Source organism: Homo sapiens, chromosome 10, assembly GCF_000001405.40.
Source record: "Homo sapiens chromosome 10, GRCh38.p14 Primary Assembly".
NCBI classification, from domain to species: domain Eukaryota; kingdom Metazoa; phylum Chordata; class Mammalia; order Primates; family Hominidae; genus Homo; species Homo sapiens.
The window spans coordinates 49,632,003-49,646,847 of record NC_000010.11 but is presented as its reverse complement, the minus strand read 5'-3'; the positions used below and the strand labels follow the sequence as shown (position 1 = coordinate 49,646,847).

The window sequence follows — 14,845 nt, the reverse complement described above, 5'->3', positions numbered from 1 at the left end:
CCCTCCAGCTCTCCTGACCCCTCAGACCCAGCCTCTTAGGCAGCAGAAACCAGTGAGTGCGCCTGCCAGACACAAGCACGTGCGGGCCTGGGCACCAGGCTGTGCCCGCTTGCCTACTCACTCTCTCGCTGGGGGCATGGCTGTGCTCTTGCAGGGCCACCTGGACGGCTTACCTGCAGGGACTTGTCGTACCAGCGATTGGCCCCGTTCTTGCTGTAGCCTCCGCCGTGAAGGAGCTGGAGTGCCCTGTGGGTGTCGCTGAGCTCCACGCCTCCTGGCGCGTCCAGGCATACAAGGCAGATGCAGCGCTCAATCATGTCCAGCGAGTCCCGGTTGGTGGAGTCTGCAGGGGAGGCAGGCACAGCCCTAGCACCTGTCCCGCTCCAGGCCAGTCTTCCCTCCTCAGAGCCCCACACAGGGCAGGGCAGCCCTGTCTTCTGGGATCACAACAAGACCCAGGTCTTGAGCCAGCCCTGACCCCCCACCTTGCCCCACTGTGGGTGGGCAGTGAAGTCAGCCAGAGTGTCCTGAGCCTCTGTCCTACCCCAGGATCCCAGCTCATTCGCACGGTCCCTGCAGGAGCCCTGCTCTCCAGCTGTGACCAGCTCTCCTCCAGATGTGTGGGCTATTGGTCATGCATGCCAAGATGAAGCGGGATGCTTAGACCCTCATGTCAGCCCACATCAGTGGAAGGGCCCTTAATCCCCCACCCAACAGCACCCTCCACTGGGGCTCCTGTGAGCCACATCTGTGTGTAGGCATGCTTGTTTGTGCTGAACTATGACTTTCAGACATCTAAACTGCAATTTCAAAATTGTTGTTGCAATTTCAAAATTAGGCAATTTCACATTAAAACCTGAAGGAAGTGTATTGGTCACCTCCCTGCCCCCAAGCTGTTGGTTCAGAGGCAGAGCTGCAGGCAGAAGGGCCAGGCTGCCTTGAACCCACATCTGGATGAGCTTGTAGGGGCAGTTTTGGACTCATGGATCCAAAGGAGCTCCAAGCCTGGCCCACAGCTGGCTTTTGTGTTAGCCTCTACCAATTCCCAGGCTCCTCTAGACATTCTTCTAGAGTAAGCAGGTCTCAAAAGGGAATCCCCCTCCCTGGTGGCACTGGAAGAGTACAGACAAGGACGGCTCTTCAGGAGCGGGAGTCAGGCACAGAGCACGTGATTTCACCAAGGACACATGCGTTCCTCCCAGAGAGCACCAGAAGCTGCCCTCCCTGGCAGCTTCCTCCACAGGGCACAGGGAGGTTCACCAAGCCCACCCGGCAGGACCTGTTGGGGGCCAGGCCTGCTCCCGCTGCGTGTTCCCATTTCTTCCAAACAGGAGTCTATTGTGCTGACGATGTTCTCTCCACTGCTCAGTACTGGGTGTGGGGGTACACAGCCTGCCTCTTGGTTTAAAGTTCACCAAAAGTTAAAAAGTCCACCCAAAGTTTAACATTTTGGTTTAAAATTCCAAGGAGTCACTTCAAGACCCAATGGTGAGGGCTGCGTATCACCAGGAGAGCCTGACCTTGGGGGCTGGATGCTGGGACAGGATGAGGCACCCAGGGCAGGGGTGAGAGTGCTCTGTGTGTGGGAAGATGGGTGCATGGCATTTGCAGGGAAAGGTTCATTACATGGTAGAGACTCCTAGTTGCACACCACATGTCCTTTCTTTCCTTGCTTGTAGAACCCCTGGTTTTTAGCTTGGTACATGGATAACAAACTAGAGCTATACTTCCCAGCCTCCCTTACAGCTAGGGGTAACCAGGTGTCTAAATTCTATGAGCAAGATCTCAAAAAACTACACCACAGCTTCCGGGGAACCTCCTCAAAGATAACTAGCATGTGCTCTTTGTCCTGCTTCCCACCTTCCTCCATCCTGCTGCCTGGATCACAGATATAATGGTGGGAGCTCTCGCCTGCGTTTTGCCTTCCTTGGGCATGTGGACAGCTCCCCTTCCCAGGGTGGTTAGTAAATCTTTAAGACCATCCCCTAGGTCTTCTCAATGCCTGCTGTGTACACAGATGCTAACTGCACTGGTCTTCGCTCTGCCCAGGTGAATTCTCCAGGTTCACAAGGAGTGTCCACAGATGCCCTTGCCTGAAAGGAGTCTCCAGTCCCCATGCATCCCCTTTCCCTCACTTTTTGCAAATCCTGGGGAAGGAGATGTCTCCCACAGCAGACCTTCTACTCTGGGAAGCCAGCCTAGCCTTGGGACATCCTCTCTTCCCTCCTGTTGAGGATGAGGCTTTGGGAGCCCTGTGCTTTCAGAACCCCTCCTCGTCCCTATGAGGGCAGGATGCCTCCTCACTCTCTGCATGGCCTCTTGGGCTTCCCTGCCTCAGTCTGATCAGCATCAAGGATCCGGCCATGCCCTGAGGATCTAAGCATAAATGAGAGCCAGCCCAGGCCCTGGGGAAACTCCCCTTCCTGTAAGCTCCTTAAGGAGGTGCAGTCACCACATTACCCTCTTAGAACTTGAAACAGCTTCTACCGCCCACAAGGGAGAATCCAAATTTCTAAACATGGCACCGTGGGCTCCATGGCCACCTCCTTCCCACCCTAGATCCCTGCGTGGACCTCACAGACAACCTCCTGCCCCTCCCTGATCCTGTGGACATCCCATCTCCTCATCATCACGCAGGCTGTGCCCAGGACAAGGCCCTTCTCCTCCTCTGTCTATGACAGCCCTCCCTGAGCTCCCTCATCCTCTGGCAGTACCAGCCCTGCCCTGGAGGACTCCTAACACCCTGAGCACGTGGCCTCCACAGCTTGCTCAGTGCAGATGTGGAATTGCACTCTTGTCAGGCCAGCCTCACACAGCACCTGAGCCCAGAGGTGCCCCCCAATCCCTGACCACCAGCCCCTGCTGCACAGCACATGACCCCAATGCCATTCCCAGACCACCGTGCTTTGGACAGTCAGCACTTGCAGCCCCTGGACCCCTGGTCTGGTCCCCTCCCCCATATCAGCACTCACTGAGGGTGGGGCCTGGGCCTCCTGAACAAGGCAAGCACAGTCCATGCTGGGTAATGGACTTTAGTGTGCTTCCCTTGGCCTGGGCAAAGTAGGGCTGGGATCTGTGGACCCAGTTCAGACAGGGGGCCTGGAGGTGTCCAGCTGGCTAATGGGAAGGGGAAAGGCCATGTCCTTATGAAGGGCAAAACCCAACTACTTTTGAGGCTTTGAGCTTCATGAATTGATGGGGGAGTGGGGGTAGGGTGAGGCTGGGACAAGGTAGGGCTTCTTCCCCCTTGCAAGGCTCCCTGCTCTGCCCTTCTCCCCTCCTTAGGCATCCCTGCAGATGGCCATAGTGCTCGCCCTGCACTATGTGCTGTGCTACTGGTCCCTGCAGGCTCAGGCTAGCCAGTGCCTTCAGAGCCCCGGGGAGGCCTTGGCCAGGTCTGGGTCAGGTTCAGATCAGCAAAGAAGAAGGGAGAGGCATGCCAGGAGGTGTATAGTAGTGCAGGGTGGTGGATGGAGGGTGGGACAGTGGTTTGGATGGCCGGAGAACAGATCCCCAGGCTTGTAAGCAGAGCTTGTGAGTGATCGGCTTGACCTCCAGCTTATGGGTGAGGGCATGCAGGATTTAGGTGGGGCTGGAAGAACATAATGATGTGATGCTATTAGCTAACCTTTGTTGAGCACCTACTATGTGCCAAATATCAATCTAAACATGCATATTGATGCATATAAGATAGGTATCATTGTCATGCCTCATTTACAGGTCAGGACCAGAGAAACCAAATATCTTGACCTTAGGCCATTTACAAGGTTTCTCTTGTAAACACGGATGATAATAATCATCCACTAAGTGGAGGGAGCTGGGTTTGATCTCAGGCATCCAACCCCAGTGCTCAGGTTCATCAACAAGGGCTATGAATGCCCAGCTCAGTCATGTGACTTCAGCCAGCAACAACAGGGAGTGCTGAAGGATCATGGAAGAGCTCAGTGTGGTCAGAGCAGAGTCTAGGATACCTGGCAGCTTGGGAAAGGCATGGGCCTGAAGGCCAGCCAAGCCGGGGCCATAGGCAGCTTGAATGCTGTACACCTCATTCCTGTTGGCCATACCTCAGGGTGAACTCTGAGAGCCCTGGCTTAGTAGCTGCCTTCACTAAGCGATCCTTAAAAACAGCCCCAAAGCCAGTGTGGAGTGGGCAGACTGCAGCTCCTGAGGCAGCCCACAGCATGCCTGCTCAGTCAGGAGGCTGAGAGCAGGCCTTGATGCAGGCTCGAGGCAGGAGAGTGGAGGCCTGGCACACTCCTTTTTAACTGGGCAATGCAAGGCTGGCAGCAGGAAAGAATGGCTCCCTGGGCATCACTGCCCTTGTCACCTCCAGGCAGGGGAGGCAGATTGTGAGGAGGCACTGAGGCCTTGCCATCATGTGCAGGCTCTGCAGGGCCCAGGAGCCCAGCGCTGCCCAACAGGAACCAGGTCCTGGCTCATTAGACAGGGTAAAATGGGAGCAGGACAACAGAGCGGGGAGCCAGGTGGCCTTGCAAATGAACTCCCTGCATATAAGTAGCTGATCAGTCAAATGCTGACAAGTTTATCATGTAAGGCAGAAAATGAGCACTACACCCAAGCTCATCCACCATGACTGTGGCCCAAATGTAATGGAAACATGGGACAACGGGCTGAAGGCGCACGGCAGGAGCCATTTGTCTTGTGGCATCCTCATCGAGCACATCGAGGCTCCTTTAAAGTGGCGAATCAATCTTCCTCAAGGAGCCCGGCGTAATAGTGAGAGGTGGGGATTGAGTAATAGGAGGAGCCTGCTCTGACACCCATGCCCAAGGAGGGAGCTGACAGCTTTGGTAGTGTGGAAATTCCAGAGGCCAGGAGGCCTCGGGGAGCCCTGAGGCTGGCATTAGAGGTTGGAAGCTTACAGGCTGAGACTCTGATGAGCACAGACAAAATAGCACCTGGTATCTCTCTCTGTGCAGGGCTGCAAGACTCAGGAGATGTTCTTTAATGTGCACTACTGTGCACAAGTACCCCCGGACATATACCACCCTCTTTGGGACACTTGCCTTTGCTTGCTCTGATCTATTCCCTGAGAAGTTAGCACAAGTCAGATTTCTATGCCATGCCCATCCCCCTTCTCACAGTCCAGGAGATGGATGAACTGGGATCTTTCTCAGGGGCTTAGACCTTCTTAACCTTTCCCAATCCTATCTCAGCATCTTTCCTCCCCTGATGAAGGAGTACTTTTTTCTTTTGGGAGGTAAATCTGCCATCGCACATCTCATATTCTTCCCGACTCTCTGGCCTAGGGGGTGATCTTTATGCTGTCAGTCCTCAGAGACTATGAGAATTCAAACAAAAGTATTTCTCACTCTTGCAAAACAGAACTGCTTTGACTTGAGTTACATCAGGCACCTTTAAAGAGCTCTGGATAGAGGGTCTTCCGATTCCAGGAACATATACTTTTCCCCATTCCTCCCGCTAAAAACTTGGACATTTTATTCAAAACAAAAGTAAGAAGACTCTGAAAGATGGCGAGAGGAAGGCAGACCAGCCAGGGACCTCAGGACCCAAGGAACATCATAGCAGCAGATTCTCTGGGTATTACGGACTGAATTGTGTCCCCTGAAAAGTCATACGTTGAAGCTTCAGCTCTCAGTGTGACTCTATTTGGAGGGAGGGCCTTTACAGAGATAAAGTTAAATAAGGTCTTAATCCAATAGAACTGGTGTCCTCATAAGAAGAGGAGATACCAAGCATGTGTGCACAGAGAGAAGGCCATGTGAGGACACAGTGAGAAGGTGGCTTGTAGTTGCCTACCCTGTGACACCTTCATCTTGGACTTCCAGCCTCCAAAACTGTGAGAAATAAATGTCTGTTGTTTAAGCCTCCACTCTGTGGTATTGTTATGCCAGCTCTACAGACTAATACACTGTGGGGTTGTTTTGGTTTGTTTTTTACCTGAAATATCCAATTTGCATTGAAGAACCCAGCAACGTAAAAACACAAGTGGGTATAGTTAAAAACAAACAAACAAACAAACAAAATAATCAACAAAAGCCTGCTCTCTCTAGTCAAAGGATCAGAATAGCAAGACATAAAACTTTTAGGTAATAAGCGTTCTACTTCAGCCAAACACCACAGAGAAAAACCGTGTCATCCCTCCCTCCCCCAGCACCCTTGCCAGCAAAGGCCAAGTGGAGAGCCCAGATGTCTACCATCACCAGTCAGTAATGAGGCATCTCAGCTTCTGGGGTATCAGAGAAGGCACAGTCTCAGATGGAAGCTGAGAATTCTATCTCCATTGAGCAATAACCAGCCCTCCGTCCTTTTCCCCACACAGCATTAATAGAGACCGTGTAGGGAGCTTGAACTTCCACCCCCCAACCCTGCAGTAATAAGGAGTCCCCTCCCCCAGGGTGTCAACAGAGACCCAGTGAAGTGCCTGTGCTTCCACCTCCACCTCGTTATAACCTCCCCCATTCTCTTGCTGGACCAGTGTCAGAGGAAGCCAGTTAAAACAAGCTTAAATAAGATCCCAAGTCTTATAACACAATATATCCAAGTTTCAACAGAAAATCACTCATTCTACCAAGAACTAGGAAAATCTCAGTTTGAACACGGGAGGCGGAGGCTGCATTGAGCCGACATCACACCACTGTACTCCAGCCTGGGCAACAGAGTGAGACTCCGTCTCAAATAAATAAATAAATAAAATTAAAATAAAATAAATAAAAAGCAGTAATCATAAAAAAGCCTCAACAAGCAATTTTAACATATTTGAAACAAATGAAAAAGAAAAGAAGTCTCCACAAAGAAACAAATTCTCAGCAAGAAAATAAAATATATAAGAAGAACCAAATAGAAATGTTAGGACTGAATAATAGAATAACCAATATAGAAAGCGCAGTGGATGGACTCAACAGCAGAACCTAGGGAGGAGAGAAAAGAATCAGTGAACTTGAAGACGGAATAACACTGATTAGACTGGGGGAAAAGGAACAGAGTCTAAGGCACCTTTGAGACAAAAGGTGATGTTTATGTCACCAAATTCCCAGGAGAGGAGAAAGAGGGCAGAGCAGAAACGACTCAGATAAATAATGGCTAACGCATCCCCAAATTTGGCAAAGGACACACATCTAAAGATTCAGGAAGGTAAGTTAACCCCAAACATGATAAATTCAAAGAAGCAAACACCAAAACATATCATAGTCAAACTTTTGAAAAATAAAGACAAAGGAAAAATCTTGAAAACAGCAAGAGAGAAATGATATACATATATACACATGTATCTATACATAGACACACACACCCATATGTGTGTGTGTGTGTGTGTGTGTGTGTGTATATATATACTATATATATATTCTATAGGAGAAAAGCAACTAGGACAACAGCAGATTTTTTTTTTCTTATCAGAAACCATGAAGACCAGAAGGAATTGCCATAATATTTTGTAAGTGCTGAAAAAAAAAGAACTATCAATCCAGAATTCTATATCAAGAAAAAATATCCTTCAGAAATGAAGAAGGGGAAATCAAAACATTTTCATATGAGGAAAACTAAGAGAATTTATGCCAAGCAGACATATCCTGAAAGAATGGCTAAATAAAGTGTTTTTTTGTTTGTTTGTTTTTGGTTTTGGTGTTTTGAAATGGAGTCTCGCTCTGTCACCCAAGCTGGAGAGTGCAGTGGCCCAATCTCGGCTCACTGCAACTTCCGCCTCCCAGGTTCAAGCAATTCTCTGCCTCAGCCTCCTGAGTGGCTGGGATTACAGGCGCCTGCCACCACGCCAGGCTAATTTTTGTATTATTAGTAGAGACAGGGTTTGTCTCTACTTGGCCAGGCTGGTCTTGAACTCCTGACCTCACGATCCACCCTCCTCAGCCTCCCAAAGTGCTGGGATTACAGGCGTGAGCCACTGCAGCTGGTCCCTAAGAAAGTTTTTTTTAAAAGAAAAGAAATGGTAAAAAGAGAAACATTGGAATATCAAGAAGAAAGAAAGAACAATAGGAAAGGTAAATATCTGAGTAAATAAATTCATTTTCATTCTCCTTTTAAGTCTTCTAAACTGTGTTTCAATGTTGAAGCAAAAATCATAAAATTGCCTGATGTGGTTCTAAATGTATATAGAGATAATATTTAAGACAAGTGTATTATAAACAAAGGAGAATAAAAGGTGGTAAGCTTTCTACACTTCACTAGAACTGGTAACATTTCAACACTAATAAACTGTGATAAGTTATGTATATACAAGGTAATACCTACAGAAACTGTTAGAAAAAGCTATACAAACAGATAATTTTAAAAAAGTTACAGGTATATCAAAATTGAATTCTAAAAAATGTTCGGGTAACCCACACGAAGGCAAGAGAAAGAGAACAATAATTGAAAAACAGAAAATAAAAACTAAAATATCAGAGTTAAGCCCTAACACATCGATAATTATGTAAAGTGTAAATGTTCTAAATACACCAATTAGAAGACAGAGATTGATGGAATATACGACAAAACATTACCCAGCTATATGCTGTCTACAAGAAGTGCACATCAAATATAATGATATAGTTTGGTTATAAGTAAAAGGAAGGAAAAATATATAGCATGCAAACATTAATCAAAAGAAAGCAGAAATGGCTATCTTAATGTCAGGTAAAGTACACTTTAGAGCAAAGAAAACTTACCAGAGACATAGAAGGGCATTATATAAAAGTGAAGGATAAATCCTCCAAGAAGACATGGCAACCCTAAATGCATCTATACCAAGCATACTATAAAATATGTTAAACAAACTCTGACAGAACTGAAAGGAGAAATAGCCAAATCCACAATTGTACTTGGAGACTGTAACACCGCTCTCAACAGTTGTTAGAACGACTAGACAGAAATTCAGCAAGGACGTAGAAGAAATCAACAATATCATCAATCATTCTCTTCAAATACCCATCGAACATATGCCAAGATAGACTATACCCAGGGCCATAAAACAACACTCAACAAATTGAAAAGAATTAAAGTCATTCAAAATATGTTATCTGACCACAGTGGAATCAAAGTAGAAATCAGTAACAGAAAAATAACATAAAAAGTTCCAAACATTTGGAAACTAAACAACATACTTCTAAACAATGAATGGGTCAAAGAGGGAGTCTGTATTAGTCTGTTTTCACACTGCTCTAAAGAACTGCCTAAGACTGGGTAATTTATGAATAAAAAGGTTTGATTTACTCACAGTTTCACGTGGCTGGGGAGGCATCAGGAAATTTACAATCATGGCAGAACGCGAAGGGGAAGCAAGGACCTTCTTCCCATGGCAGCAGGAGAGACAGAGAACAAGGGGGGGACTGCCAAGCACTTTTAAACCATCAGATCTCCTGGGAACTCACTGACTGTCATGAGAACAGCATGGGGGAAACCGCTCTCATGATCCAATCACCTCTCACCGGGTCCCTCCCTTGACATGTGGGGATTACAATTCGAGATGAGATTTGGGTGGAGACTTAGAGACAAACCATATCAGAGTTTTAAGGGAAATTTAAAAAATACACTGAAATGAATGAAAACTAAAATACACCATATGAAAATTTGTGAGATATAGCTAAAGTATTGATGAGAGGGAAATTTATAGCATTAAATGCTTACATTAGAAAAGTCTCAAATCAATAATTTCTTACCTGAAGAACCTAGAAAAAGAAGAGCAGAAAAAAACCCAAAGCAAGCAAGATGAAGGAAATAATAAAGAGCAGAAATCAATACAGTTGAAAACAGGAAAAAAAATCAACAAAAAGAAAGGTAGTTATTTTAAAAGATCAATCAAATTCATAGAGAGACTGACAAAAAAAAAAAGAGAGGGAGAAAGACACAACCACCAATATCAGGAATGAAACAGGATATCACTACAGACCCTGCAGACATCAAAAGTATAATAAGAGGATACTATGAACAATTCTATACACATAAATCTGACAACTTACATGAAATGGACCAATCCCTTGAAAAGTATAAACTACCACAATGCATTGAATATTATGATTATTTGAATAGCCCTATAATTATTAACCCGTTTATGCTGGAGGTTGCAAATTTTTTTGTGTGAAAAATCAGACCTTGGTGATGACCTTAAGCAGTAGGACATAAATAACTCCCACAAGCTTAGCGTTCTAATAATGGAACACTAGGCATAAATGAGTTAAGGGTATTGAATTAGCAACATTAAAACTCCCCAAAAAGAAATCTTCAGGCCCAAATAATTTCACTGAAAAATTCTACCAAACATTTAAGGAAGAATTGATACCACATTTATACAATCTCTTTCAGAAAATATAAGAGGAGGGAACATTTCCCAATTTATTTTACGAAACAGGTATCCTGATACCAAAAGAAGATAAATACAGTACAACAAACAAAAAACCAAACCAACTATAGACCAGTGGCCCTCACAAATATAGATGGAAAAAATACTGAACTACATATTAGCAGGTAGAATTAAGCAATATATGAAAAGAATTATACACCATGACCAACTGGGGCTCATTTCAGGGATGCAAGCCTGGTTCAATATCTGAAAATCAATCAATGTAGCCCACCACATTAACAGACTAAAGAAAAAAATAACATGATTACATTAATTGATACAGTAAAAACATTTGACAAAATTGAACATCCATTCATGATAAAATCTCTTATTGAACTAGTACCAGAAGGGAACTTCCTTGACTTGATAAAGAACATCTACAAAAAGCTTATAGCTAACATCATATTTAAAGGCGAAAGACTATAATTGAGTTTTGTACGTTAATCTTTTATATTGCAACCTTGCTGAATTCATGTATTCTAGGAGTTTTTGGAGTTGTAGATTTGCTACTATTTTCTACATACATAATCATTTCATAAAAGTAGGGATCATTTAATTTTTTTCTTTCTGATCTGTATCCCTTTTATTCCCTTTTCTTGCCTTAATGCACTGGCCAGAACTCCAATACTGTGTTAAACAGAGTGGTAAGAGTAGGTATCCTCTTATTACTGATCTTAGGGGGAAAGCATTCAGTCTTTCACCTTTAAATAAGATGTTAGCTATAAGCTTTTTGTAGATGTTCCGTATCAGGTCGAGCAAGTTCCTTTCTGGTCCTAGTTCTCTAAGAGATTTTATCATGAATGGTTGTTGAATTTTGCCAAATGCTTTTACTGTATTGATTAATATAATCATGTTATTTTTTTCTTTAGTCTGTTAATGTGGTGGATTGCATTGTCTTCACACCTATCAAAATGGTTAAAATAAAAAAAAGTGACACCACCAAATGCTGGCAAAGATGCATAGAAACTGGATTATACATATATTGCTGACAGGAATGTAAAATGGTACAGTCACTCTGGAAAACATTTTAGCAGTTTCTTAAAAAACTAAACATACTATTATGGTGTGACCTAGAAATTTCATTCCTGGGCATTTTCTTCCAGTAAGTGAAAACATAGGTTCACACAAAAACCTGTACACAAATGTTCACAGTAGCTTTAATAGCTCAAAACTGGAAACAACCCGGATGTCCTTTGATGGGTAAACAATGAAAGAAACTGATACCTAGCACCATGGAATATCACTCAGCAATAAAAAGGAAAGAACTGTTGATACATGCAACGATTTGGATAAATCTCCATCCGGAGAATTATACTGTTTGAAAAAAGCCAGACCCTGCATCATACATGCTATATGATTTCATGTATATAATATTCCTGAAGCAATAAAATTATTGAAATAGAGAACAGATTTGTGGTTGCCCAGGAGTTAAGAAGGGGGTGAGGTGGGTGTGGTTATAAAAGGGCAGCAAGAGGGATCCTGGTGGTGATGGAATGTTCCGTATCTTGACTGTATCAATGTCAGTATCCTGGTTGTGATATTGTACTATAGTTTTGGAAAATGCTACCATTGGTGGAAGATGGGTACATATGAGATCTCTGTATTACTTCTTACAACTGGATGTTAATCTTCAGTTATCCCAAAATAAGTACAATTTAATTTCAAAAAAGAACTTAAGAACCAAGAAGTGTTCTTTCTTCTGGGTTCTAACCACTCTTCCCACAAAGGCAGAGGGTATAAAGAGCTGTCAGGCTTCCAGAACTGGGGGAAAGGATGGTGGGGGAGAAAGGCAGGAGATACAAAAACAAAAACAAAAACAAAACAAAAAAAACCACCTCCTAGCTATCTTGTACCCCAAACATTACTGTGCTGCACATAAAATGGAAAACGAGGGCCAGAGAGATGGTGACTAGGGAGAAGGTAAAGAGAGGAGCCCAGTGTGTGTGCACACAGAGAGAGTGGTACGTGGAGGGCCCAGGGAAAGCAAAATGCACCACAGAGTTCATAGGGATTAGGATTCCATGCAAAGAGCAAAGCAGCCTGAGGGCCCACGGGCCCCTGCCTCTGACCACAAGGACAGTACTCATGTTCAAGTTCACCAGATTTTTCCAGAGGGGTTGTGGGCATTGGGCAAAGCATCCCCAGCGTGATCCCCAAATCTAATAAGAGCTACCATTTAGCCAACACCCTCTGTGTGCCAGGCGCCAGCCCATCTGCTTTACCGCCCATCCCCTTGGTCCTGCCCACAGGGCAGACTGCTATCTTCATATAGACTAGGAAGCCCAGGCCCCAGGAGACAGCAGCCGTGGTAGGTTAAGGGCAGGCCTCTTGCCCTGGACCACTTGCCTTTCCTGCCTGGATGCTCTTGTCCCTAAAGGCCTTCATTCTCCTACTGAAGGAGGGAGGCATTGGCCCAGCCCCTTTCCAGAGCAAGAAAATCACATTCAGTCTTGAGAGCTCGGGAGGTATTTCTGGGCCAATTAAATCAGAGAGGCTGTTAGTGCTAATGTGTAATTGGTTTTAAAATCAGCAGACATGCCTAGCTCTGGATGACGATACGTAAATAGCAAAATGCCCCCATCCTGAGTGGTTCTTGTAAACCATGACCATGGCCTTCTGCAGCTGTAGCCGCCTTCTGTCAGTTCCCTCCTTGCAAGCAGTGGCTCAGCTCTAATTGACTGTCGGGGATAAATATTTACGGGACTGTGTAAACGAAAAGCATCTGCCTCTGAGGTCTGGTCACAGGCTCTTCACGGCAGCACCCAGGAAAGCCAGAGGGCTGGGGGGCTCTCCAAGCTGGCCATTCTTTTCCTACAAATTGACAAGTGCTGTAGTCTCCCAGACTCGGGGCTGAATGTCTAATTAAATTTCCAGGCCAGGATAACGGGTTGGCTCCTCCTGGGTTCAGGAAGGCCACAGCTTCGAGGCAGTGGGGAGGGAGGTCCTAATAGGGTGTGCAGGCTCCCTCTGAGGCCCCAAGCCTGTCTTCAGAATCCCACCTGGCCTCCCTGGCACTGCAGGTCTCAGGCTGGCTAGGCAGATGCTCCCTTCCAGTGTCAGATCCTGCTTCACCCCCGGCCACCCCTAAAGGAGACAGACATAGCCTCTTCCTCGGTTCAGTGGGAATAAAATCCCACCTCGCAGGTGTAACAAAAGACAGAAGGTGCCCAGGAAAGAGCAAGCCAGAGGGGGACCTGGATGCTCTGCTAATATCCGAGTAAGCAGGTCCCAGCCTGGCCTGCACATGAAAACACCAGAGTGCTATAAAAATAGATTCCTTGGCCCCACTCTGTCCCTCTGGAAAAGCACTGGGGCCCGGGAATCTGTTTTATTTTGTTTTATTAAGGAATGCTCTAGACAATCCTGATGTCATCATCCAACCCCAGTCTGCAATTAGGGCTGAGTCACACTGGCCTCAGCACACCTGGCTTTAGCTTCAAGTTCCTCTGTGGACGTGGCCTCCCAGCCCCTCAGGAATCTGTCTGAATTGCTGCTTTGGTTTAGCCTGTGTATCCTGGTGCTTTGGGCCCCCAGAGGACACTGGTAGTGGCCTGTGGATGATCAGGCCACCTTCGTTGATGTCAGTGCACACACTCCTGCACCGTGTCTGAGCCCATGTCTGAGCTGGAGCTGAGGGGTGCGGCAGGCAGCCCTGCTCCCCTGCGCGTGGGCTGTGCCACCCTGGCAGTCCCTGGAACCCTGTGGGCCTCATGCCCTCAGTGTCGTGGCAGAGGGTCAGGCTAAGCAGCCTGGGGCTCACAGGAGGGAGTCATCCTGGTTGGGGGCAGGGTGAAGGCTCAAGGGCAGTGTCTTGAAGGAGAGAGGTTGATAAAATGGAGGGTCGGGGTGGAAAAGCCCCTGCCCCAGGCCTTAGTTGACCACATGAGAATCCGGGGAAGTGTTTCATCTGAGCGCAGTCTCCTTGGTCTAGACCTCCACCAGGCTGAGAGGAGCTCAGCTTGGCCAAGGCCTCCTGCCAGTGAGTGCTTGCCTGGACTCTGTGCCCATGAGCACTGTCCCTGTACCCAGGCTCCAGGAAGTGGGGGCAGGATCTTAGGGCTTCAGCTGAGAGGGTTGGGAGCTATGCTCCCCTAAAATAGCTCAACCCTTTCCGTGGAGTTAATCAGGATACTGCTGTGGGTGAGAAAGCACCTCAGCCCCAACAGCCACACTAGGCAACCACCCTGGGGGCTCCCTGGCTCCCCCATCACCCCACTCCCCAGGCCATGTGTCCTCTACGCGCATGCAGTCCTCACACTTGTCCTTTACTCCTTCTGGAGCGCTTCATGCCTGTCTCAGACGGGCCATTCCCCTGCATGGCTAAACTCTTCTGTAGGTGTCTGCCCAGCTTTGCCTCAACTGCAATGTGGCACTTCCCGAGGGGTGCTCCCCTGAGGTGCCCGCTCCCCTGCCACCCTCTCAAGCATGCTGTTGTTTTCCTCCACACTCATGCACCCCAGGGCCAGGTGGGGTAGACAGCTTCCTTCTACTGTTCCTGCTTCTAAACAACTCCCCCTCCCTCATCCCACT

General features: G+C 46.7%; 1 protein-coding gene across 7 annotated transcripts in view; it reads right to left on the bottom strand.

Moving 5' to 3' along the window:
• CHAT (choline O-acetyltransferase) overlaps positions 1-14,845 on the bottom strand; it is a 58,848-nt gene that overhangs the window by 21,095 nt on the left and 22,908 nt on the right. For all 7 annotated transcript variants that reach the window (NM_020984.4, NM_020985.4, NM_020986.4 and 4 more), the window contains one exon: positions 174-343. In NM_020984.4, coding sequence (NP_066264.4) covers positions 174-343 — 170 coding nt within the window. The remainder of the gene's footprint in view (positions 1-173; positions 344-14,845) is intronic.